Source organism: Homo sapiens, chromosome 6 (assembly GCF_000001405.40).
Source record: "Homo sapiens chromosome 6, GRCh38.p14 Primary Assembly".
Classification (NCBI taxonomy): Eukaryota; Metazoa; Chordata; class Mammalia; order Primates; family Hominidae; genus Homo; species Homo sapiens.
Window position 1 is genome coordinate 148,638,395 of NC_000006.12, and position 25,328 is coordinate 148,663,722.

A 25,328-nucleotide genomic window follows, 5' to 3' on the forward strand; every position below is an offset into this window, starting at 1 on the left:
ACTTCTGAAGGTCAAGCCCAGGGATTCGGGCCCACTAAAATATTGAGATTTAATCATAAGATTATAGAACACTTCCCTGCCCCAGCATCTTAACACCACATCCACAGGACTCTATTATGGATTATAACATGACAGTGGATTACAACTGAGAGAACTGTAAGACACAGACTCTGTTTAAGGAGTTCATAGGAAATCCAAAGACAACAGAGGAGCAAAATAAACAAGTGAACTAGAGGAAACGGAAGCCTCTGGCACCCATAGCCACAGCAAACATTAAACATGGTCAGCTCCTAGCCAGGCTAACATAGAACCTCACATTAAAAGCCTAGTGACCTCAGTTCCTATTACCCAGTACATTATAGCTGCCTTTCATTAAAAAATTACAAGTCATGATAGAAGGTAAGAAAAAACAATCTGAAAAGGAAAGGCAAGCATCAGAATCAGACTCAGATATGACATAGATTTTTAAATATCAAATAGGGAATTTAAATATAACTAGTATGTGAAGGTCTCTAATGCAAAAAAGTAGACAACCTGCAAGAACAGCTAGATGGATAATGTAAGCAGAGAGGAAACTCATTCTATAAGGCCAATATTACCCATATGCCAAAGCCAGGTAAATGATTACAAGAAAGGAAAAAAACTGAGATATAGAAATCCTCAACGAAATGGTAGCAACTGAATCCAACATAGACCTAAATGTTAAATGCAAAAGCTATAAAACTTCTAGATGATAACAGGATAAAATCTAGAGGACCTTGGATTTGGTGATGGATTTTTAGGTAAAACATCAAAAGTACAATGTATAGAAGAAAAAATTAATAAGTTGGACCTTATTAAAATAAAAAACTTCTACATTGTGAAAAACACTGTCATGAGAATGAGAAAACAAGCCACGGACTGGAAATAAATATTAGCAAAACACATATTTGATAAAGGACTTGTATCCAAAATATGCAAAAAAATCTTAAAACTTAATAATAAAAAAACAAACAACCCAATTTAAAAATGGGCAGAACATTTGAACAGACACCTCACTGAAGAAGACATACAGATAGCAAATAAGCATGTGAAAAGATGTTCACATGACTTTTTAATAAGAAAATTACAAATTAAAATGAGATATTACTACATGCTTAATAGAATGGCTAAAATCCCAAACACTGACAACATCAAATGCTGGCAAGGATGTGGAGCAGCAGGAATTCTCATTCATTGCCAATGGGACTGTATAAAGGCATGAAAACTTTGGATGACAGTTTGGCAGTTTCTACAAAGCCAAACATAGTCTTTCCATACAATCCAGGAATCATGCTCCTTGATATTTACACAATTAAGCTGAAAATTTATGGCCACACAAAAATTTGCACAGGTATGTGTCAGGCCTCTGAGCCCAAGCTAAGCCATCATATCCCCTGTGACCTGCACGTACACATCCAGATGGCCGGTTCCTGCCTTAACTGATGACATTCCACCACAAAAGAAGTGAAAATGGCCTGTTCCTGCCTTAACTGATGACATTGTCTTGTGAAATTCCTTCTCCCGGCTCATCCCGGCTCAGAAGATCCCCTACTGAGCACCTTGTGACCCCCCACTCCTGCCCGCCAGAGAACAACCCCCCTTTGACTGTAATTTTCCTTTACCTACCCAAATCTTATAAAACGGCCCCACCCCATCTCTCTTCACTGACTCTTTTTGGACTCAGCCCGCCTGCACCCAGGTGATTAAAAGCTTTATTGCTCACATAAAGCCTGTTTGGTGGTCTCTTCACACAGACGTGCATGAAATTTGGTGCCATGACTCGCATTGGGGGACCTCCCTTGGGAGATCAATCCCCTGTTCTCCGGCTCTTTGCTCCCTGAGAAAGATCCACCTACGGCCTCAGGTCCTCAGACCAACCAGCCCAAGAAACATCTCACCAATTTCAAATCAGGTAAGCGGCCTCTTCTTATTCCCTTCTCCAACGTCTCTCACTATCCCTCAACCACTTTCTCCTTTCCACTCTTCAATCTCTCCCTTCTCTTAATTTCAATTTCTTTCATTTTCTGGTAGAGATAAAGGAGACACATTTTATCCGTGGATCCAAAACTCCGGCGCCAGTCACGGACTGGGAAGGCAGCCTTCCCTTGGTGTTTAATCATTGCAGGGATGCCTCTCTGATCATTCACCCAAGTTTCAGAGGTGTCAGATCACACAGGGATGCCTGCCTTGGTCCTTCACCCTTAGCGGCAAGTCCCGCTTTTCTGGGGGAAGCGAAAGTACCCCAACCCTTTCTCTCCATGTCTCTACCCCTTCTCCACCTTTCTGGGGGGCAAGAAACCCCCAACCCCTTCTTCACCCTTAGCAGCAAGTCCCGCTTTTCTGGAGGAGGGGCCAGTACCCCAACCTCATATATCTGTGCCCCAACCTCTTATATCTCTGCGCCCCAATCCCTTATTTCCATGCGCCAACCTCTTATATCTCTGCGCCCCGATCCCTTATTTCCACACCCCAACCTCTTATATCTCTGTGCCCCAATCCCTTATTTCTGTGCCCTGACCTCATATCTCTGTGCCCCAACCCCTTCTCTGCTTTTCTGGAGGGCAAGAACCCCCCACCCCTTCTCCGTGTCTCTACTCTTTTCTCTCGGCTTGCCTCCTTCACTATGGGCAAGCTTCCATCTTCCATTTCTCCTTCTTCTCCCTTAGCCTGTGTTCTTAAGAACTTAAAACCTCTTCAACTCTCACCTGACCTAAAATCTAAGAGTCTTATTTTCTTCTGCAATGCCGCTTGACCCCAATACGAACTCGACAGTAGTTCCAAATAGCCAGAAAATGGCACTTTCAACTTTTCCATCCTACAAGATCTAAATAATTCTTGTCATAAAATGGGCAAATGGTCTACGGTGCCTGATGTCCAGGCATTCCTTTACATATCAGTCCCTCTCTAGTCTCTGTTCCCAGTGCAACTCATCCCAAATCTTCCTTCTTTCCCTCCCACCTGTCCCCTCAGTCCCAACCCCAAGCGTCACTGAGTCTTTCTAATCTTCCTTTCTACAGATTAGGGGTCAGACACATCTGACCTCTCCCCTCCTCCCCAGGCTGCTCCTCGCCAGGCCAAGCTAGGTCCCAATTCTTCCTCAGCCTCCGCTTCTCCACCCTATAATCCTTTTATCCCCTCCCCTCCTCACACCTGGTCTGGCTTACAGTTTCGTTCCATGACTAGCCCTCCCCCACCTGCCCAGCAATTTACTCTTAAAAAGGTGGCTGGAGCTAAAGGCATAGTCAAGGTTAATGTTCCTTTTTCTTTATCCCAAATCAGATAGCATTTAGGCTCTTTTTCATCAAATATAAAAATCCAGCCCAGTTCATGACTTGTTTGGCAACAACCCTGAGACACTTTACAGTCCTAGACCCTAAAAGGTCAAAAGGCCATCTTATTCTCAAAATACATTACCCAATCTGCTCCTGACATTAAATAAAACTCCAAAAATTAAATTCCGGCCCTCAAACCCCACAACAGGATTTAGTTAACCTCAGCTTCAAGGTGTACAATAATAGAAACAAGTTGCAATTCCTTGTCTCCACTGTGAGACAAACCCCAGCCATATCTCCAGCACACAAGAACTTCCAAAGGCCTGAACCGCAGCGGCCAGGCGTGGCATTCCTCCAGAACCTCCTCCCCCAGGAGCTTGCTACAAGTGCCAGAAATCTGGCCACCAGGCCAAGGAATGCCCGCAGCCCGGGATTCCTCCTAAGCTGCATCCCATCTGTGTGGGACCCCACTGGAAATCGGACTGTCCAACTCACCTGGCAGCCACGCCACTCCCAGAGCCCCTGGAACTCTGGCCCAAGGCTCTCAGACTCCTTCCCAGATCTTCTTGGCTTAGCGGCTGAAGATTGACGCTGCTCAAGCGCCTCGGAAGCCCCCTAGACCATCACGGATGCCGAGCTTCAGGTAACTCTCACAGTGGAAGGTAAGTCCGTCCCCTTCTTAATCAATATGGAGGCTACCCACTCCACATTACCTTCTTTTCAAGGGCCTGTTTCCCTTGCCTCCATAACTGTTGTGGGTATTAACAGCCAGGCTTCTAAACCTCTTAAAACTCCCCAACTCTGGTGCCAATTTAGACAATACTCTTTTGAGCACTCCTTTTAGTTATCCCCACCTGCCCAGTTCCTTTATTAGGCCGAGACACTTTAACTAAATTATCTGCTTCCCTGACTATTCCTGGATTACAGCTATATCTCATTGCTGCCCTTCTTCCCAATCCAAAGCCTCCTTTGCATCCTCCTCTTGTATTCCCCCACCTTAACCCACAACAATAAGATACCTCTACTCCCTCCTTGGTGACCAATCATGCACCCCTTACCATCTCATTAAAACCTAATCACCCTTACCCTGCTCAATGCCAATATCCCATCCCACAGCATGCTTTGAAAGGATTAAAGCCTGTTATCACTCACCTGCTATAGCATGGCCTTTTAAAGCCTATAAACTCTCCTTACAATTCCCCCATTTTACCTGTCCTAAAACCAGACAAGCCTTACAAGTTAGTTCAGGATCTATGCCTTATCAACCAAATTGTTTTGCCTATCCACCCCATGGTGCCAAACCCATATACTCTCCTATCCTCAATACCTCCCTCCACAATCCATTATTCTGTTCTGGATCTCAAACATGCTTTCTTTACTATTCCTTTGCACCCATCATCCCAGCCTCTCTTCGTTTTCACTTGGACTGACCCTGACACCCATCAGGCTCAGCAAATTACCTGGGCTGTACTGCCGCAAGGCTTCACAGACAGCCCCCATTACTTCAGTCAAGCCCAAATTTCATCCTCATCTGTTACCTATCTTGGCATAATTCTCATAAAAACACACGTGCTTTCCCTGCTGATCATGTCTGATTAATCTCCCAAACCTCAATCCCTTACAAAACAACAACTCCTTTCCTTCCTAGGCATGGTTAGTGTGGTCAGAAATCTTACACAAGAGCCAGGACCGCACCCTGTAGCCTTTCTGTGCAAACAACTTGACCTTACTGTTTTAGCCTAGCCCTCATGTCTGCCTGCAGCGGCTGCTGCTGTTTTAATACTTTTAGAGGCCCTAAAAATCACAAACTATGCTCAACTCACTCTCTACATTTCTCATAACTTCCAAAATCTATTTTCTTCCTCATACCTGACGCATATACTTTCTGCTCCCCGGCTCCTTCAGCTGTACTCACTCTTTATTAAGTCCCACAATTACCATTGTTCCTGGCCCGGACTTCAATCTGGCCTCCCACATTATTCCTGATACCACACCTGACCCCCATGACTGTATCTCTCTGATCCACCTGATATTCACCCCATTTCCACATATTTCCTTCTTTCCTGTTCCTCACCCTGATCACGCTTTATTTATTGATGGCAGTTCCACCAGGCCTAATCGCCACACACCAGCAAAGGCAGGCTATGCTATAGTACAAGTCACTAGCCCGCCTCTTAGAACCTCTCATTTCCTTTCCACCGTAGAAATCTATCCTCAAGGAAATAACTTCTCAGTGTTCCATCTGCTATTCTACTACTCCTCAGGGATTATTCAGGCCCCCTCCCTTCCCTACACATCAAGCTCAAGGATTTGCCCCCATCCAGGACTGGCAAATTAGCTTTACTCAACATGCCCCGAGTCAGATAACTAAAATACCTCTTAGTCTAGGTAGACACTTTCACTGGATAGGTACAGGCCTTTCCTACAGGGTCTGAGAAGGCCACCACAGTCATTTCTTCCCTTCTGTCAGACATAATTCCTCAGTTTAGCCTTCCCACCTCTATACAGTCTGATAACAGACCAGCCTTTATTAGTCAAATCAGCCAAGCAGTTTTTCAGGCTCTTAGTATTCAGTGAAACCTTTATATTCCTTATGGTCCTCCGTCTTCAGGAAAAGTAGAACGGACTAAAGGTCTTTTAAAAACACACCTTCCCAAGCTCAGCCACCAACTTAAAAAGGACTGGACAATACTTTTACCACTTTCCCTTCTCAGAAGTCAGACCTGTCCTCAGAATGCTACAAGGTACTGCCCATTTGAGCTCCTGTATAGACATTCCTTTTTATTAGGCCCCAGTCTCATTCCAGACGCCAGACCAACTTAGACTGTGCCCCAAAAAAACTTGTCATCCCTACTAACTTCTGTCTAGTCATACTCCTATTCACCATTCTCAACTACTCATACATGCCCTGCTCTTGTTTACACTGCCGGTTTACGCTGTTTCTCCAAGCCATCACAGCTGATATCTCCTGGTGCTATCCCCAAACTGCCACTCTTAACTCCTGAAGTAAATAAATAATCTTTGCTGGCAGGACTATGCTGAATCTCCTTAGGCACTCTCTAATCAGATGTCCTGGGTCATCCCAATTCTTAGACCTTTTATACCTGTTTTTCTCCTTCTGTTATTCCATTTAGTTTTTCAATTCATACAAAACTGTATCCAGGCCATTACCAATAATTCTACATGACAAATGTTTCTTCTAACAACCCCACAATGTCACCCCTTACCACAAAATCTTCCTTCAGCTTAATCTCTCCCACTCTAGGTTCCCACACCACCCCTAATCCCGCTCGAAGCAGCCCTAAGAAACATCGCCCACTATCTCTCCATACTATCCCCCAAAATTTTCACTATCCCAACACTTTACCACTATTTCGTTTTATTTTTCTTATTAATATAAGAAGACAGGAATGTCAGGCCTCTGAGCCCAAGCTAAGCCATCATATCCCCTGTGACCTGCACGTACACAACCAGATGGCCGGTTCCTGCCTTAACTGATGACATTCCACCACAAAAGAAATGAAAATGGCCTGTTCCTGCCTTAACTGATAACATTGTCTTGTGAAATTCCTTCTCCCGGCTCATCCTGGCTCAAAAGCTCCCCTACTGAGCACCTTGTGACCCCCACTCCTGCCCGCCAGAGAACAACCCCCCTTTGACTGTAATTTTCCTTTACCTACTCAAATCTTATAAAACGGCCACACCCCTATCTCTCTTCACTGACTCTCTTTTCGGACTCAGCCTGCCTGCACCCAGGTGATTAAAAGCTTTATTGCTCACACAAAGCCTGTTTGGTGGTCTCTTCACACGGATGCCCATGAAAGTATGTTTATAGCAGCTTTACTAATAATTGCCAAAAACTGTAAACAGTCAAGATGTTCTTCAAATAACAAATGGATAAACAAACTGTGGTATAACTGGACAAAGGAACATTATTTAGTAATAAAAAGAAGCTATCAAGTCACAAAAAGACATGGAGGAAACTTAAATGCATCAAAAATAATTTACATGCAAAATGAAATCAATTAATTCCAGGTGAGCAATCTGATGAGTTTTGATAAATGTATGCAGTTGTAGGACTATCACAATAATCTTGACATAGAACATATCCATGGCCCCTAAAAATCCCCTTGCAACCTCTTTACAGTCACCTCCCTCTACCATCACCTGGCTCTTGGCAACCAGTGACATACTTTCTATTATTATATTAAGTAATTGTGGTTTTTGCATTATTGGAATTTGCCGTTTGATATTGGAATACATTCTTAAATAAATGTGGTTATGTTATAAATCATTTTAATATGCATTTCTCACTTTATGTTTTTTTGCTAATGACTTACCACTTACCATTCATTTTAGACCATGGAAATGATGTTAGACGAATGGCAGATTCAAGCAATTTTCTTATTTGAGTCCATGACAATGCCTGACTGCATGTTGCACAACCTATGCTTGAAAAGTTGAATGAATTGGTCTACAAAGTTTTGCCTCATCTGCCATATTCACCTGACTTCTCACCAACCACCACTTCTTCAAGCATCTCGACAACTTTTTGCAGGGAAAACGCTTCTACAACCAGCAGGATGCAGAAAATGCTTTCCAAGAGTTTGTCGAATCCTGAAGCAAGGATTTTTGTGCTACAGGAATAAAAAAACTTACTTATCGTTGGCAAAAATGCGTTGATTGTAATGATTCCTATTTTGATTAATAAAGATGTGTTTGAGCCTAGCTATAATGATTTAAAATTTATAATCTGAAACTGCAATTACTTTTGCACTAACCTAGTTTTGCCTTTTTCAGAATTTTATATAAATGGAATTATAGAGTCTATAGGCATTTGTTTCTGCTTTCTTTTACTTAGCATAATACTTATGACACTCATTCGTCTTTATCAATAGTTTATTTCTTTTTGTTTCTGAGTGGTACATCTTTGTATTGGTCCTCCACCAGTTATTTATTCCTTTACCTGTTGATGGACATTTGGGTTCTGTCCAGTTATGGGCTATTAAGAGTAAAGCTGCTATGAAGATTATGTACAAGTCTTTGTGTGGGCACATGCTTTCATTTCTCTTAGGCAATACCTAAGATTGAAATGGCAGCATAGTAGAACAGGTTTATGGGTTTTGTTTGTTTGTTTGTTTGTTTTTTGGAGTTTCTGCTCTTGTTGCCCAGGCTATGAGTGCATGAGTACAATGGTGCGATCTCAGCTCACTACAACCTCTGCCTCCTGGATTCAAGCAATTCTCCTACCTCAGCCTCCCGAGTAGCTGGAATTACAGGCATGCACCACCATGCCCAGCTAATTTTTGTATTTTTAGTAGTGATGGGGTTTCACCATGTTGGTCAGGCTGGTCTTGAACTCCCGACCCCAGGTAATCTGCCTGCCTAAGCCTCCCAAATTGCTAGGATTACAGGCATGAGCCACTGTGCCCGGCCAGGTTTGTTTTTAAAAAACTGACAGTTTTCCAGTGGTGTTCCAGGTTATGTTCCCACAGTGTATGATCATTCCAATTGCTCTGCTTCCTCACCAACACTAGGTATGATTGGCCTTTTTAATTAGAACCATATTTATGAGTGTGTAGTGATATCTCATTGTGGTTTTGATTTACATTTCCTTTATAAACAACAATGTTGAACATCTATCTTATGTGCTTATTTTCCTTCTCTATATCTTATTTGATTAAGTTTCTGTTTAAATCTTTTGCCCATTTTTATTTGGATTATTTGTCTTATTATTGAATTGTGTGAGTTATTTATATATTTCAGATACAAATTCTGTATCTGAAAATATTTGAAAATATTTTGTTAGTCTGTGGCTTACCTTTTCATATCCTTAAATTTCTTTTGAGGACCAAGAGTTTTTACTTTTGATGAAATCCAATTTTTTTTATTTTATACTTTGTACTTTTATGTCCTAATTATAAAAAGCTTTTTTTTTTTAAGAACTGATGTTTATTTTCCAACAACCTTATTTCCATTTTGCTTAGGAGCCTGTGGAAAATGGCTTAAGACCGACCACTCAGTGGTTTTTCATACCCATTCAGTGGCCCAAGCAGTGGGAGCTGTGGACCAGTCTTCCATGGCAGGCTGAGTGCTCTAGTCTTCAGTAGGGACCTGCTGAACAGACACAGGGGGCACCTGTGTGACCTGCACACCTTCAAAGCAGGCTGCAACCTCAGGCTGAGTAGCAGTACACTCAGGAGCCAGGGCAGTCCCTTCACCCTGAAATTCCTCCTTAGCCTCAGCTTTTTTAGCAGCAGCCTGCTCTTTCTTTCTAATCTCCTTGGGATCTCTGTAGACATAGAGATCAGGCACGACCTCCTATGGGTGTTCACAGGAGATGGTGCCATGCATATGCAGAACTTCCAGGCTGGCATCTTCCACATCAGACCCACTGAGTGAGTGCCCTTGTTGTTGCAGGGGATGGCAATGTCCACAGCGCAGACGAGAATCTGTGTGACCCAAAGCAATGGTAGGCAGGTTAGCATAAGACACCTCTGTGAGAGGCTGGTGGTCAGCTCTGGGATCAGTAATTGCCAAGAGCCATGGCTCCCAGAAGGCTGCCTGGGTCTGGTTAGTGAAAGTTTCAAGAGTGAAACAATGAAACAGCCAGCAATAGGAGTGACTCCAGTGGCAGCAGCAAACTTCAGCACAGCCCACTGGCCAGTATTCTGGAGGGCGTGACACTGACATCAGCACAGTTTTCAATGGCAACAATGGCGCCAGCTGCCAGAAGAAGCTTCTCCCAGGTCCTGTTCAGATTTAGGAAGCAGATGCTTTCACTTTTCCTTTTATAGGTGTACTGTTCCATTTGGAAGTCGAGGTTGATGCCACCTAATTGGGTCCCTGCTGCAAGAAACTTGAGGACATCCTCCTCCTTCATTTGCAGGATATCAAGGGCTCCAGACGTTGTGAAAGTTTCCCTTGAAGTTACAATGGAATCCAGAACAATGCCATATGGACCCTCCTCTGGGTATCCAGAAAGCCTAATTATGAAAACTTTAGCTAACTTGTGACTGCTTGGATTTTCTCTGATGTCTTCTAGAAGTTTTATGCTGTTGACTCTTACCTTAAGGTCTTTATCTATTTTGAATCAATTTTTCTTTATGGTGTGAGGTAAGAAACAAGGGTAATTTTTTAGCATATAAATATCCAGTTGTTCCAGCACCAACTGTTGAAACAATTATCCTTTCCCCCATTAAATTCCCTTGGTATCTTTGTCAAGAATCTATTGACAGTGATTGCTAACAGATTTCCAGAAAGAAGAAGTGAGAAGCACAGCAGCCTACTAAGCATAACAATCGTTTTACTAAAAAAGAAGTTAAAGAAAATAGTTTTTTTTAAGTTTCTGCACATTGTTCTGAGGGCATACAGAAAATGAAGAAATATTTATTCCAGAAAATTTACTAAATCCTTGGTAACAGCATAGTCTGTATTGATAAAAGAAAAGCTTTAGCCGAATTAAATTTAAAGGAGTTTAATTGAGCAATGAATGATTTTCAAATTGGGCAGCCCACAGAATTAGAGCAAATTCACAGAGACTCCAGCACAGCCATGTAGTGGAAGAATATTTATAGACAAAAAGGGGAAATAATGTACAGAAATTGGAAGTGAGGTACAGAACGACTGGATTGGTTCCAAGTTTGTGTTTGCCTTATTTGAACACAGCTTGAACATTCAGCAGTGTATAAATGGTCGAAGTACAGCCACTGGGATTGGCCAAGACTCAGCTATTGCTCCAGGTGCATACTCCTAAGTTAGGTTTTCAATCTTGTCTGCCTACTAAACTAGGTTGCAGTTTGTTCACAAGGACTCAAATACAGAAGTACAGAGTCCTCCTCAGGCCATATTTAGTTGACTTTAACAGTGTCCTCTGAGCCATGACTGCTTCCTCCCTCCCCTCTCTAAGCTCTGACTTATGGAAACACTGCTCTGGGCACTCAACTTCAGGCAGTGAAGCCCAAGAATATGACACAGGGGATCCCTCTCCCTCCTGTGTCCCAGAATAGGGCTACAGCTTCACCCTGGGAATGCAGGCTGCTGCTGTTTCTCACTTCCCCTATGATGAGAAGCTTTGTTCTTATCATACATGACCTCCTGCATAAACTCTTTCATACAGAAGTTCTGATCATACATAGCCCAAAGGGCTGAGGCTCCCATCTTATACCCTACTCATAGGGTGGAAATACTATTTCAGAACCAGCAGATTGAGAATACTGGGGCTCCAGGTCCCTCCCCTGTCATTCCCAGGGCAGAGGTTCCACAAGGAGAAGGCAAGCTAAGAAGGCTGGAGATTATCATTCTCCCTCCATCCAGCATCCAATAGAGCAGGGATGTCACCAGGATAAGGAGGCTATTATCTACACCCAAGCTCCTGTGCAGTCTGCAGAGTTCCTGCCATAGGAGAGCAGTAGCCTTTATTAAGGACAAAGCTCTGTAGTCCTGCCCAAGGGAACTGACTCAATTAGGAAAATAGTGCAGAGAATTTCATGCCTAAGGGTGTTGTAGAGATAATGGAGATCTTAATTCATGGTGGACAGCAATTAAAAGGGCACTTAAATCCAGCAATCCCACTTCTAAGTATATAGCCAAAGGAATTGAAATCGGCATGTCAAAGAGACATTTGCACTCTCATTTTCATTGCAGCATTAGTCACAATAGCCAAAACATGGAATCAACCTAAGTGTCCATCAGTGGAGGAATGGAGAAAAACAGGGTACATGTACACAATGAAATACTATTCAGCCTTCAAAAAGAAGGAAATTCTGTTATTTGTGACAATATGGATGAATCTAGAGGACATTATGCCAAGAGAAATAAACCATGCACAGAAAGACAAATATTGCATGATCTCACTTATATGTGAAATCTAAAAAAGTTTAACTCAAGAAGTAGAGAATAGAATGGTGGTTTCCAGAAGATGAGGTTGCAGGAGAGTTGAGGGGAAAAGGGAAAATGTTTGTTAAAAAGTGCAAAGTGTCAATTTGTTGACGAAAAGAGTCAAACTCTAAAATATTCGAAGAGGTTAACGCTGAGCCAAATATGAGTGACCATGGCCCATGACACAGCCCTCAGGAGGTCCTGAGAACATGTGCCCAAGATGGTCAGGGCACAGCTTGGTTTTATACATTTTAGGGAGGCATGAGACATCAATCAAATACATTTAAGAAATGCATTAAGATTTGGTTCAGAAAGGCAGGACAACTTGAAGCGTGGCTTCCAGGCTATAGGTAAATTTAAAAATTTTCTGGTTGACAAATGGTTGAGTTTGTCTATGGACTGATTAAAGAAAAACTTCAGCTGACTTCAATTTAAAGGAGTTTAATTGCAAATAAACATATTAAACTCCTTTAAATTGAATTCGGCTGAAGTTTTTCTTTTATCAGATGGTGTCAGAAGCAGGATCTGAAGTGGAGCTTCTAGCCACCCCCAGGAGTGCTGAGTGAACATGCAGGCTACTGCAGAACCCACTTGTGTCCACTGATCTCTCACAGCAGCTGGGAATTGTGGGTAAGCTCCCTCTTGGATTTTGGAGCTCCAGGGATTTGTGTTTTGAGCTCTCTGAGTTTCTTTGAGCAAATTTCTCATCCAAACTGGGTTTGGAAGTCATGACAGAAACTGGACTAGGTCCAGGATGGGATTTGATCTGGAAGTTAACTGGCTTGGATCCAGTTAGACGTCTCTTACATCTGACTGGGTCAGAAAAGAACTGGTAGTAAGCAGTAATATTGCAGGGGTTATAAAACTTGGCTTTTAAAATTCATGGAGCTTTTTGTGTTCTACCCTTTTGTTTCATTTTTCTTGCACACCTAGGTAGGAGGAATCATTGTCTAAGTTAATCAAGAGAATCTGAGAGTAAAGCCAATATTTTAGGTTAAAATGGGATTCTTAATTTCTGGAAAACTGAGCTCCTTTTGGCTTATGCATTAGGCCTGGGAGGCAGCAAAGTCTGGCAGAAATGTCAAAATCTTACTAAAGATAACTTACAATGGAATGTTCCAAATGAAAAACAATGCACTGAAGTGCATTAAAAGAAAAAGAAAAATGTTTTCTTTTGTGTTGCAGCTTGGCCCCCAGGGTTATGGTGTAGTGAGCTGGGTCACTAGAGCCACTCAGGGAAACGGAACCCAGAAGCCTGGCATGCCAGCAAAAGGGTAAGAATTTCTTACCAGTCAGATTTCTGGCTTCTCTCTCTGTGCAAACTACTTGAGTGAATGGTAAAAATCACGGTTTATCTCCTCTGTAAAGTTTTGATTAATGCAAAAAAGAATTCTGAGGCTAGTCTTAAGCCATAATGAATCTGGTGTATTTTGTGCTATGAATTTGTTTTTCTATGTTGAGGGGTACCTTAGGATAAAACATGGGCATAGGACCCCATAAGCTTGCTGCTCAAGATGGCCCAGCAAGCTGGCCAGTAATGAACTTTTCTGCAGGGGTCCCTGAAACAAACAAGAAACTGGATGAGGTATCCATCTTGTTTTATGTCCTTGGGGGCTTGAGCTTGTAACCACGTGGCAGTACTTTCTCTTGGTCTCCACCCTCCAGGGAACATGTATTTTAGGGTTCATGTCATAGCTCTAAAAATTATCTTGAGTAGTTAAAAGCCTTTGCAAGCTCAAAATTAACTACTCTAGACTCTTTCTGGGATGGGCAATTGGACTGCCCTGCACTGTGGCTCAGTAGACAAGGTTTTGCCCTTCCACTGTGGCAGTCTGGGTTTGATTCCCAGCTTAGGAAATGAGTGCTTTCTGGTTTGAAATCTGTGTAACCTTGTGGATTCTCTTCTCCTCCATGGACTATCTTAAATTTTCCTCTCTCTGAGTACCTGGGAAGTTACCTATGGTAAAGTTCAAAAGCCAGAAATATAGACTGTTTGGACTAGCTAAAGTCAGGTCATAAGAAATTTTAAAAGGACTTTACTAAAGAGTGCTATGGTTAAAAGCCAGCTTAATTAAAAGTGAATATTCAAGCTCTAACAGCCTGGACTCCTTGGGAAAAACAGGAGGCACCAGAGCCCGTTTCCTGGCCCTGTTCATCCAAGGACTCCACCCTAAAGCCAATAACCACTTAAGAAACTTAAAAACTGGCAAATGAAAAATTTTACAACTACAGTACTAATATTCAGTCTGTCTGTCTGTGTAGTTATATATGTGTTGTATATGTAAATGTTTATATAAAAGAGCTCTAATTGGCTTAAACAAAAATAAATACTTAAATATTTTGAAAGAAAAATAAAAACTGTAATGCCTTTTAGTTCATGTAACTTTAGTAATTTTGGGGAAAGAAAAACAGCTTCAAAGATTATTGGCAAAATAAAAACATTTGGTCTAAATTAGGCAGGTCAGATATTAGGTTTGCTAAATGCTTTAAGGTCATAAACTGCTTTGACTTTGGAAAATTTTCAATTTACTTTGGAGACATTAAATTCTAAATAAGGCCTGGGAATATGCAGAATTAGCCATGCCCCTGAACTATGCAAAGAAGGTTATAAAGAAAGGAGATTTTATATAAGAAAGGATCTTGTATGGTAAGTTCTTGTCCTAAAGTAAAATGACTGGTTGTTTAAAAGAGGGGATGTTTAGGACAAGTTAGAAAGTCCAAGCATGTCATAGGTGGTCTGTGTAAGTCATAAAAGGATTCATAAAAGAAAATTTATGCACCAAAAGTGAAAGTTGAGACTACTGAAAACATAGGTTTACATATAAGATGTGTAAGGAGAATGAAATGTGTTTTTGGTACGAGATTATAAGAAGGTAAGGGAATGTAAATTTTTGCCTAGTTTACAGAGTTAAAGGATTGTTTTAAATTAAATAAAGCTAAAGGTTTAAATAAATTGTGGAAGGTTTATAAAAATTAACTTTGTAAAAAATTCTATGTGTGAAAATATTGACTAAATTTAAAGGGGTATTATTCGGTTTTTCCATAAATTTAACATTGAAATAAAAGCACAACAGGTTTTTCTTAGAGCACTAATCTGCTCTTTAAAAAAATCATAAAAGGTTATACAAGGTTTATAATATTCTACCTTATGGTCAAACTGATTAATATTGAATACATTTGCCTATAAGGTTTTATTAAGAATTGGGTTTGACATCAATAATGCACTGATGCAACAGTGACATTTGGCTTATTTGGTATAAAAATCACAGGAAGCATTTTCAAAATAAAAATAATGTTTACTCTTCAGGTTATATTTTAGTGAATGATAGTAATATGTGTTCCAAAATTGAATGGGGATTCTAATATTTCTGAGTATATGCTATCAATCATAATTAAGGTTATTATGTTGTTATTGTAGCCCACAGAGATAACCAAATTTCTTTGTCAATTGTGTCTTTAACTATCACTATTTAAAGTCATTTCCGCAGTTAATTGCTTGATACTGATGCAGTTTCTGAAAACTTCACAAGCATGCAAAATCCTATAATATGGTGTCTTTTAAGAGGTTTGTGAAAGAATGGAAAGGACCCTGAAAAGCACTCTTGAAAACAGGTTTCTAATAACTTTAAAATCATATCTTGGGTAAGAATTTCCCATGAATTCCCCAATTCCTCAAGAATTGGACTGGGTAAGAATTCCTGAAACTTTAATAAAAAGATTGGTTTATAAAACTGCTAACCCAAGTAGAACAAAAATTAATTAAATACCAAGAAAACACTTTGCCAGATTATCATGTTAAATCAGCCAATACTAAAATTGTTTTGATATATAATTTGAATGAACTCCATGGTCTAAGTCAGATTACCTATGATAACTCATTAGTTATCAGTGCTACGCACCTAAATTGGAAAAATAACTGGTATTCAAGAGGACATAAATCTAATGTTAAGCATGGACTCATGGAGAACCATGATGGCCACCTTGTTCTTCCTGAGTCCTTAAAGCTTTTGTTATTAAAGGTTCTGCAGGCTGGGTGTGGTGGCTCACACCTGTAATTCCAGAATTTGGGAGGCTGAAGTGGGCGGATCACGAGGTCAGGAGATCAATACCATCCTGGCTAACATGGTGAAACTCCATCTCTACTAAAAATACAAAAAAAAAAAAAAAAAAAAAATTAGCCAGGTGTGGTGGCAGGTGCCTGTAGTCCCTGCTACTCGGGAGGCTGAGGCAGGAGAATGGTGTGAACCCAGGAGGTGGAGCTTGCAGTGAGCCAACATCGCGCCACTGCACTCCAGCCTGGGTGACAGAGCGAGACTCTATCTCAAAACAAAAACAAAAACAAAAACAAAACAAACAAACAAAAAAACAGCTTTCCAATGTGAAAGGGCTGATGTTATAACAGCAGATTATTATGCTACAGTGTATTTTCACCCCATAAAGAAAGTTTTTTATGGTTCACTGAGGACAATGCCTTCATAATCTAGAACTCAAAGATTGGGTCTTCTGAGAACATCAGAGAAAGACTGTCCTTGCCATCCACACTACAGCAAAACTTGGGGACCTTGAACTTTGGGTTCATAATCTCAATACTGAGCAGTGTCCCTCCACACTCTTGGAACTGTACACCCATTGGGACCCTTAAGGTAAAGCTAACCAGGACAGTTTCTCCCCAGAAGATGGCATCCTTAATGTGAACAACTTTTTTCCAAAATCACAGATCAAGACTTCTCTGCTATCACGAAACAGTTATCTTTGAATATTTTTTTCTTGCTTATGCCTCTATGAACAATAGAAGTGAAAAAGGGGTCTATTATGTGCACTTACAGCATATACTTTTATTTGTGAAGGATTTTGCAGCCAGCCTTATACATGAATAACTTTATACTTTAATAGATAAAAGATGAAGGCCCAGTGTAAGTGAGAAACTTTAATGGTACATATATTGTCTCATAATCAGCCAAAACTCCTCTTAACCCACATCAGGATTTAAAGAGAACATTGCCAGGTGGCCTTCACTCTTCTAGGACATCATTTGTTAGGTCCTGTTTCTGTTATTTTGAATAAAAGAGGCAATAACTAGAAATGTATCCCTCATAATAGACTCCATAGCAGATTCTATGTAAAGGCAATCATTACCCAACAGGCTTTAAATTCTCCTGTGAAAGTTATGCTGAATAATAGAATTAGCTAAACAAAAAAGTATCTGTGCAGCTGCTGGCACTTGTGGCCTATAAAGAAATACATCAGGCTCACACCTGTAATCCCAACAATTTGGGAGGCCAAGGTGGGTGGATCACAAAATCAGGAGACAGAGACCATCCTGGCCAACATGGTGAAACCCCATCTCTACTAAGAATACAAAAATTAGCTGGGCGTGGTAGCTCTTGCCTGTAGTCCCAGCTACTTGGGAGGCTGAGGCAGGAGAATCACATGAACCTGGGAGGCAGAGGTTGCAGTGAGCCAGGATCACACCACTGCACTCTAGCCTGGGCAACAGAGCAAGACTTCATCTTGAAAAAAGAAAAAAAAAGAAAGAAAGAAAAGAAAAGAAAAAGAAAGAAATACATCGAATGCAGATTATAAAAAATTCAGTTGTAGGGGATTAATGAAAAGACCACTTAGTCAAGTGAGCAGACTCTTCATGTAGCTCATTCTTTAATGTATTTAATTTTAAGCGGTTTGGTTTATGGGAACCCTGTATAAGGCACATACTCCAAACTCTTGATATTATCCTCCCAATAGTCATAATAATAGTCTCCCTCCTGCGCTGTATTCTCTCAAAGTTTTTAAATGTTTGCACGCAGCCATCTCTAGAATGTCAAATGGTCTCTCTTCAACTAGAATGATGAAAGCTGAAAGAAATGTGTGACCATAAGGACACCACAACCTATAAATGACATGCTGAGACTGGAAACTCAAAATGATGGTAATTGAGAGTGGTGCTAAGGCCCTAAGTTTTGGTCACAATCTCACCTAAGTGAGAACCTTGCCAAAGAGGGGAATTTTATTTTAAACAAAATTATGGGAGGCCATTATTTTGTACTGAGCTCATGCAGTAGGCCCAAACAGACCAATCCAAACTAATATGGAGTTACTTGTGCTAAATATGACATAATTAAACTAAAACTTCAAGGAAACACAAAGATCCTAGAGCAGACCAGGTTTTGTTTTTCTCCTGTAAACAGAATGTTCCAGCATAAAGAGGTACCCCTACTCAGTCGTTGTTCCCTTCTTGCAAAACCCACTGTTCTATTGTTTCCCAGTGGGTTTCAAGACCATAAGTACATTTACAATGGTGATAGTGACATCAATGACTAAGGTTTTGGTCAATCTCTCGAATTTGAGAAAATGACCAAAAGGGGGGGAATTGTTAAAGCAAACTAAACGTGGCCTGAGAAGGATTCCGTACTTCTATATTTGAGTCCTTGTGGATGAACAGCAACCTAGTTTAATAGTCAGAAAAGATTGAAAACCTAACTTAGGAGTATGCGCCTGTAACAATAACTGAGTCTTGGCCAATCCCAGTGGCCATCCTTCAACCACTCAGAGACTGCTAAATGTTCAAACTGTGTTCAAATAAGGCAAACGCCAGCCTGTAACCAGTCCAGCTATTTCTGTATCTCACTTCTGATTTCTGTACGTCATTTCCCCTTTTTCATCTATAAATATTCTTTTACCAAGTGGCTGCGCTGGAGTCTCTGTGACTCTGCTGTGATTCTGGGGTTGCCCAATTCATGAATCATTAATTGCTCAATTTAGAAAGGAAATGTTTGGGTTAGGATAAAGCATTGTGGAGATCCAAGTTCTTATTTACAGAGGAAGCCTTCAAGTACTAGGCTTTAGAGAGAATAGGTTGTAAAATGTTTCTTATCAGACTTAAGGCCTGTGTCGATGTTAATGCTGGAGAGGTATAATGAGGCATGTTCAACCCCCATTTTTCATTTATGGGGGTTGAAACCATCTCTCAGGTTAAATTTTAAAAGAGCCCTGGCTGATGAGCATGTCCATTCAGGTGGTTGGGGACCTTAGAATTTTATTTTTGGTTTACAAATTAGACAGGAGGAATAATTTCTGGTGATCTAGTGCATAGCAAGGTGACTGCAGTTAATTATAGTGTATTGTATGTATCAAAATTGCTAAAAGAAGGAATTTTAAATGTTCTCACCACAAATAAATGATAAATATATGAGGGGATGGATACGTTAATTAGCCTGATCTGCTAATTCCCCAATGTATACATGTATCACAATGTCACATTTTACCCTATGGTATAGAAAATTATTATTTGTCAATTAAAAATTTTTCAAAGAGGGCAATGATAGCTTCCTGATATGAGTAGCAAAAAAAACAAAATGGCAGCACAAGCCAAAGTTTAACAGAGAGAATCAGGGAAAGAACATCTAAGAAGGGCCCAGATGGGATAATAGTCAACTCTAGGAGTTAGGAAGACTGTGTACATATGCTGGGCTTCACTCAGGAGCAATCGGAGAAAGGCACAGGGCATACCTGAAAACATTTCCAAAGCCACATGCAGATTCATCAAAAAGAGACAAAGCTTCATTGACACAAGGGGTTTAAGCACAATTCCTGACCAAACACTATAAATTACTGAACTATAAATTACTCTGACCCAAGAACAACTCATAGGAAGTCAGGTTTAAAAATAAAATTAAGACTAGGTACAGTGGCTCATGCTTGTAATCGCAACACTTTAGGAGGCTGAGGGGGTGCGGATCACTTGAGGTCAGGAGTTCAAGACCACCCTGGCCATCATGGTGAAACACCATCTCTACTAAAAATACAAAAATTAGCCAGTTGTGGTGGTGAGGGCCTGTAATCCCAGCTACTTGGGAGGCTGAGGCAGGAGAATTGCTTGAACTCAGGAGATGGAGGTTGAGCTGAGATCACGCTACTGTGCTCCAGCCTGGATGACAGAGTAAGACTCTGTCTCAAAAAAAAATAAAATAAAATAAATAAATAAATAAAAATAAAAATAATACATCCCTGGCAATCTGAAAGACTGTTTCATGACAAAGCTGCACACTCAGGAGACATCAGAGAAGGAAAATACAAGCTACCCATTCCTGGTTGAATATAGGAGAAAAAGATAAACTCCTTGAATTGTGATAGCCTCCATACTACACATACATCCCATGGTAAAGGTTAAAAGTCTAACTTACTAGAAGATCTTAAGCACAGTCTCTGACAAATAAGTGGCTTATACTGACCTACAGGCAACTCCTAGGTAGTCAGAATAAAATATAAAACAAGAAAAAAAATCAGAGAAGGGACATCAAAGGCTGCACACTTCAGAAGAAATAAACTTCACATAGTTAGGTCTGCCAAGTCACTGAACAAATAAACAACCAAAACAACAGCATCATTAACTTGGAGAGAGGTCAAAGATCACAACTGAGGGTACTGGTGATCTAAAAACTAAAGAAAACTATATCTAAAAATTAAAGAAAGGTATAAAAGTGTCTCATCAAATAAAGAATTTCAATAAAGAGAGAAATCATTTTAAAATAATCAAATGGAAATTCTGGAGGTGAAAATTTCAATAACAAATAAAAACATCACTAGAAGTACTCAACGGCAAATTTGAATTAACAGGAGAATGAGTCAGCAAACTTGAAGATAGATTTATAGAGATTATACTATCTGAAGAGTACAAAAAAAGAATAAAAATAACAAACAGTACTTCAGAGAAATGTGGGAAATCATTAAATGCACCAACATATGTGTAATGGGAATAGCGGAAGTGAAGGAGAGAAAGAAAAATACAGAAAAATATCTAAACAAATAAAGGTTGATGAAACCAAAAGCACAAGTATAAAACAAAAATAGGCAAATGGAATTATATCAAACTAAAAATCTGCACAGCAAAGGAAACAATCAACAGAGTGAAGAGACAACATATGGAATGAGAGAAAATGTTTGCAAGTCGTACATCTGATAAGAGGTTAACATCCAAAATACATAAGGAACTCCAATAAATCAATAGTAAGAAAACAAATAACCTGGTTACAAAATAGGCAAATAATCTGAATAGACATTTCTCAAAAGAAGACATATAAGTAGATAACAGGTATATGAAAAAATGCTCAAAATCACAAATCATCAGAGAAATGCAAATTAAAACCACAATGAGATATGGCCTCACACCTCTTAGAATGGCTGTTATCAAAAAGATGAAAGATAACAAGTATTGGAGAAGATGTGAAGAAAAAGGAACACCTGCATACTGCTGGTGGGAAAGCAAATTAGTGCCATTATTTAAAAAAAAAAAAAGGAAGTTTCTAAAAAAATTGAAAATAAAACAACCATATGACCACCATTCCACTCCTGAATATATATCCAAAGTATATGAAATCAGTATATCAAAGAACTATCTCCACTCCCATGTTCATCACAGCATTATTCACAATAGCCAAGATATGGAATCATCCTAACTGTTCATCAACAGATGAATGGATAAAGAAAATGTGGTATATGTACACATCAAAGTACTATTCATCCATAAAAAAGAAGAAAATCCTGTCATTTGCAACAATATGGGTAAACTGGATGAACATTGTGTTACATGAAATAAACCAGGCACAGAAAGATAAAAACCACATGATCTCACTTATATGTAGAATGTATAACAATTAAACTCATAGAAGTAGAGAGTAGAATAGTGGTTACCAAAGGTTTGGGATTGGGGAATACTTGAGGAGATGTTGGTTAAAGGACATAAAATTTCATTTAGATAGGAGGAATAAGTTTAAGAGATCTATTTTACAGCATGGTACATAGTTAATAACAATGTATTGTATTCTTGAAAATTCCTAAGAGAATAAATTTTAAGTGTTCTCACCATAAAAAAATAAGTATGTGAAGTAATAGATGTATTCATTAGCTTGGGTGAGCCATTCCACAATGTACACATATTTCAAAACATGTCGTATATGATAAATATATACAATTTTTATATGTGAATTAAAAAATCAAGAAATAGTGTCTGAAAATTTCTCAAATTTCACCAAAAAATCCCCAATAATCTACACATTCAATAAGCTCAACAAGCTTCAGGTAAGAGAAATGCAAAGAGAGCCACACACAGACACATCATAGTTAAGACAAAGAGAAAAATCTCAAAAAAGAGTAAGAGAAAATGACTCATCATGCACTAGGGAGCACTAATAAGATTAACAGCTTACTTCTTATCAGGGATAACAGAGGCCAGTAGACATTAGAATAACATATTCATACTGTTGAAAGTAAAAAAAAAAACAAAAACAAAAAACACAAAACACACACACACAAAAACTGTCAACAAAGAATCTCAGATCCAGAAAAAACGATTTTTCAAAAATGAAGGTGAAAAGGTGATAAAGAAGAGCTAGCAGATGTGCTTCTAAGAAATAGACAGTTATTTAGGCTGAGAGCAAGTTACAGCAAACAGTATTTTGAATCAATATAAATAAACAAGGAGTGCCAGTAAGATAATTAAGTAGGTAATTCTAAAAGATAAAGCAATTCCATATTGCTTCTCCTTTCTTCTCTTAATTGATTTAAGGACAATTATATGAAACAATATGTATTGTGTTGTGTTATATTGTACTGTACTGTAGGGTATATAACATACAGAAATGTAATATATTTGACAATAACACAACAAAAAAGGCAGGTGAGAATGTAGCTTTATTGCACTAAGGAAATGATGCCAGATGGTAACTTGAATCCAAAAGAAGAAAATAAGAGAATCAGAAATAGTAAATTGGAAGTTTAATAAACTCTATAACTACATCCTTTCTGTCAGCTTCTCTAAAAGACATATGTTTTATATAAAGTAATAATTATAAAAGTGTAATATTGTGTTTGTAAGCAATATACCTGTAATAGGTATAATATTTGGATTTTTAAAAATGGTGAAGAGGGATTAGAGTTATATAGAAGTTTCTACATGTCACTGGAACTAAGTTATGACAGATCTTATCCAGTTCTGTTTTTCAAAAAAGGAAATTTTATCTTTCATAGTTCTGGAGGCTGGGAAGTCCACATCAAAGTTCAAGTTTATTTGCTTTCTTGTGAGGGCTCTCTTCCAATTTTGCACTTGATGGCCTTATCTAGGGTCCCATCTTCATTACTATTGATACATCTAACCCTGATTATCTCCCAAACACTCCATCTTAAATACCATCATATTTACTGGATGTTAGGGGTTCAAGTGTGTATCATACTGTTCTTATGGTGTCCATATATATATTATATATAGTTCTCCATCTTTGCTTTCGTTGCCTGTGCTTTTGATGTCCTCTCAAGAAATTCTTGCCAAGTCCAGTGTTATGAAGTTTTTCTCCTAAGTTTTCTGCTAGTCATTGTAAAGTTTCCTCTCTTACATTTTTATATTTAATTTATCTTAAGTTGATTTTTTAATATATGATGTAAAATAAGGGTCTAATTTCATTGTTTTGCAGGTGGATATCCAGTTTTCCTAACACCATTTGTGGAAGAGACTATCTTTTCCCCATCATGTAGTCTTGGTACTCTTGTCAAAGAACAATTGATTGTGTTTGTGTAGAATTATTTCTGGGCTCTTTATTATGTTTCATTGGCTTATATGTCTCTTTTAATGCCAGTACCATACTATTTTGATTACTACAGGTTTTTCATATGTTTTGAAATTAGGAAATGTGATGCCTCCAGCTTTATTCTCCTTTCTTAACATTATTTTGGCAGTTTGTGGTCCTATGTGGTTCTACATGGATTTTAGGATTGTTTTTTATTTTTATTTTGTTAAAAATTGCAATTGGAATTTTGATACATATTGCATTTCATCTCTAGATCACTTTGGATACTATAGACGTTTTAACAATATTAAGTCTTCCAATCCACGAACACAGGATGTCCTTCCACTTATTTGTATTTTCTTTAATGTATTTCAGTACCAATTTGTAGTTTTCACTATATCGGTCTTTTGCCTTCTTGATTAAATTTTTTCCTATGGAACTATGGAAAAGGAAATTCCTATTTCCTTTACAGGACACATAATTATAGACACATGTGTCCTATTATAGACACATAATTTATAAAGATCAAATCAGTGAATTTGGGATCTCCACCTTAAATATTTGTCTTTTCTTTATGCTAGAACCATTCAAATTCTTCTCTTTCAGCTATTTGGAAATGCACACTAGATTACTATAAACTATAGTCACCCCACTGATCTATCTAACACTGGGTCTTATTTCTTCTATGAAACCATGTATTTGTACCCATTAATCAACTTCTCTTCAGTCTTTCCTTGATCTTTCCCCTTCCCCATCTCAGCTTCTGGTAACCACCAATCTACTCTCTATCTTCATAAGAGCCACTTTTTTTCGTTTAGCTCCCACATGAATGATAACATGTGATATTTGTCTTTCTATGCTTGGCTTATTTCACTTAACATAATGAACTCCAATTTTCATTCATGCTGCTGCAAATGACAGGATTTCATTCTTTTCATGGCTGAATAATAGTCCGTTATATATTTATACCACATTTTCTTTACCCATTCATCCACTGAGGGACACTTAGATTGATTCCATATTTTGGCTATTGTGAATACTGCTGCAATAAACATAGAAGTGCAGGTGTCTTTTGAATATATACATTTCCTTTTTTATACTTAGTAGTGGAATTGCTAGATCCTATGGTAATTCTATTTTTAATTTTTTGAGGAATCTCCATATTGTTCTTTACAGTAGCTGTACTAATTTACATTTCCACCAACAGTATATGAGGCTGTCCTTTTCTCCACATCCTCATCAGCATCTGTTATTGCCTGTCTTTCTGACACAAGCCATTTTAACTGTGGTAAGATATTTCATTGTGGTTTTGATTTGCATTTCTCTGATGATTAATGATGTTGAAAATTTTTAAATATACCTGTTGCTCATTTGTATGTCTTCTTTTGAGAAATGTCTGTTGAGATCTTTTGCCCATTTTAAAAAATCTTTAGCCCATTTTTTAAACCCAATTGTTGTTTGTTTTGTTTTGTTTTATTTTGCTCTTGTGTTTGAACTCCTTATATATTATTGTATTGGTTTGGCTCTATATTATGGTCATTTGTCCCTTGTCAGGTGGGTAGTTTGAAAATATTTTCTCTCATTCTTTTGGCTGTCTCTT

The 25,328-nt window shown here is 39.0% G+C and overlaps 1 pseudogene, besides 3 other annotated features; it reads right to left on the minus strand.

Moving 5' to 3' along the window:
• Nucleotides 6,366-6,900: an enhancer, noted in NCBI's record as "OCT4-NANOG-H3K27ac hESC enhancer chr6:148965896-148966430 (GRCh37/hg19 assembly coordinates)". NCBI's record gives its function as "activates a minimal SCP1, AML or CMV promoter by ChIP-STARR-seq in primed H9 embryonic stem cells {active_cell/tissue: H9 hESC(primed)}" and the evidence as "EXISTENCE:reporter gene assay evidence [ECO:0000049][PMID:30033119]".
• Nucleotides 6,901-7,436: an enhancer, noted in NCBI's record as "OCT4-NANOG-H3K4me1 hESC enhancer chr6:148966431-148966966 (GRCh37/hg19 assembly coordinates)". NCBI's record gives its function as "activates a minimal SCP1, AML or CMV promoter by ChIP-STARR-seq in primed H9 embryonic stem cells {active_cell/tissue: H9 hESC(primed)}" and the evidence as "EXISTENCE:reporter gene assay evidence [ECO:0000049][PMID:30033119]".
• Nucleotides 9,230-10,277, minus strand: RPSAP40 (ribosomal protein SA pseudogene 40; annotated as a pseudogene).
• Nucleotides 18,865-18,924: an enhancer, noted in NCBI's record as "active region_25234". NCBI's record gives its function as "activates an Ori minimal core promoter by ATAC-STARR-seq in GM12878 lymphoblastoid cells {active_cell/tissue: GM12878}" and the evidence as "EXISTENCE:reporter gene assay evidence [ECO:0000049][PMID:35858748]".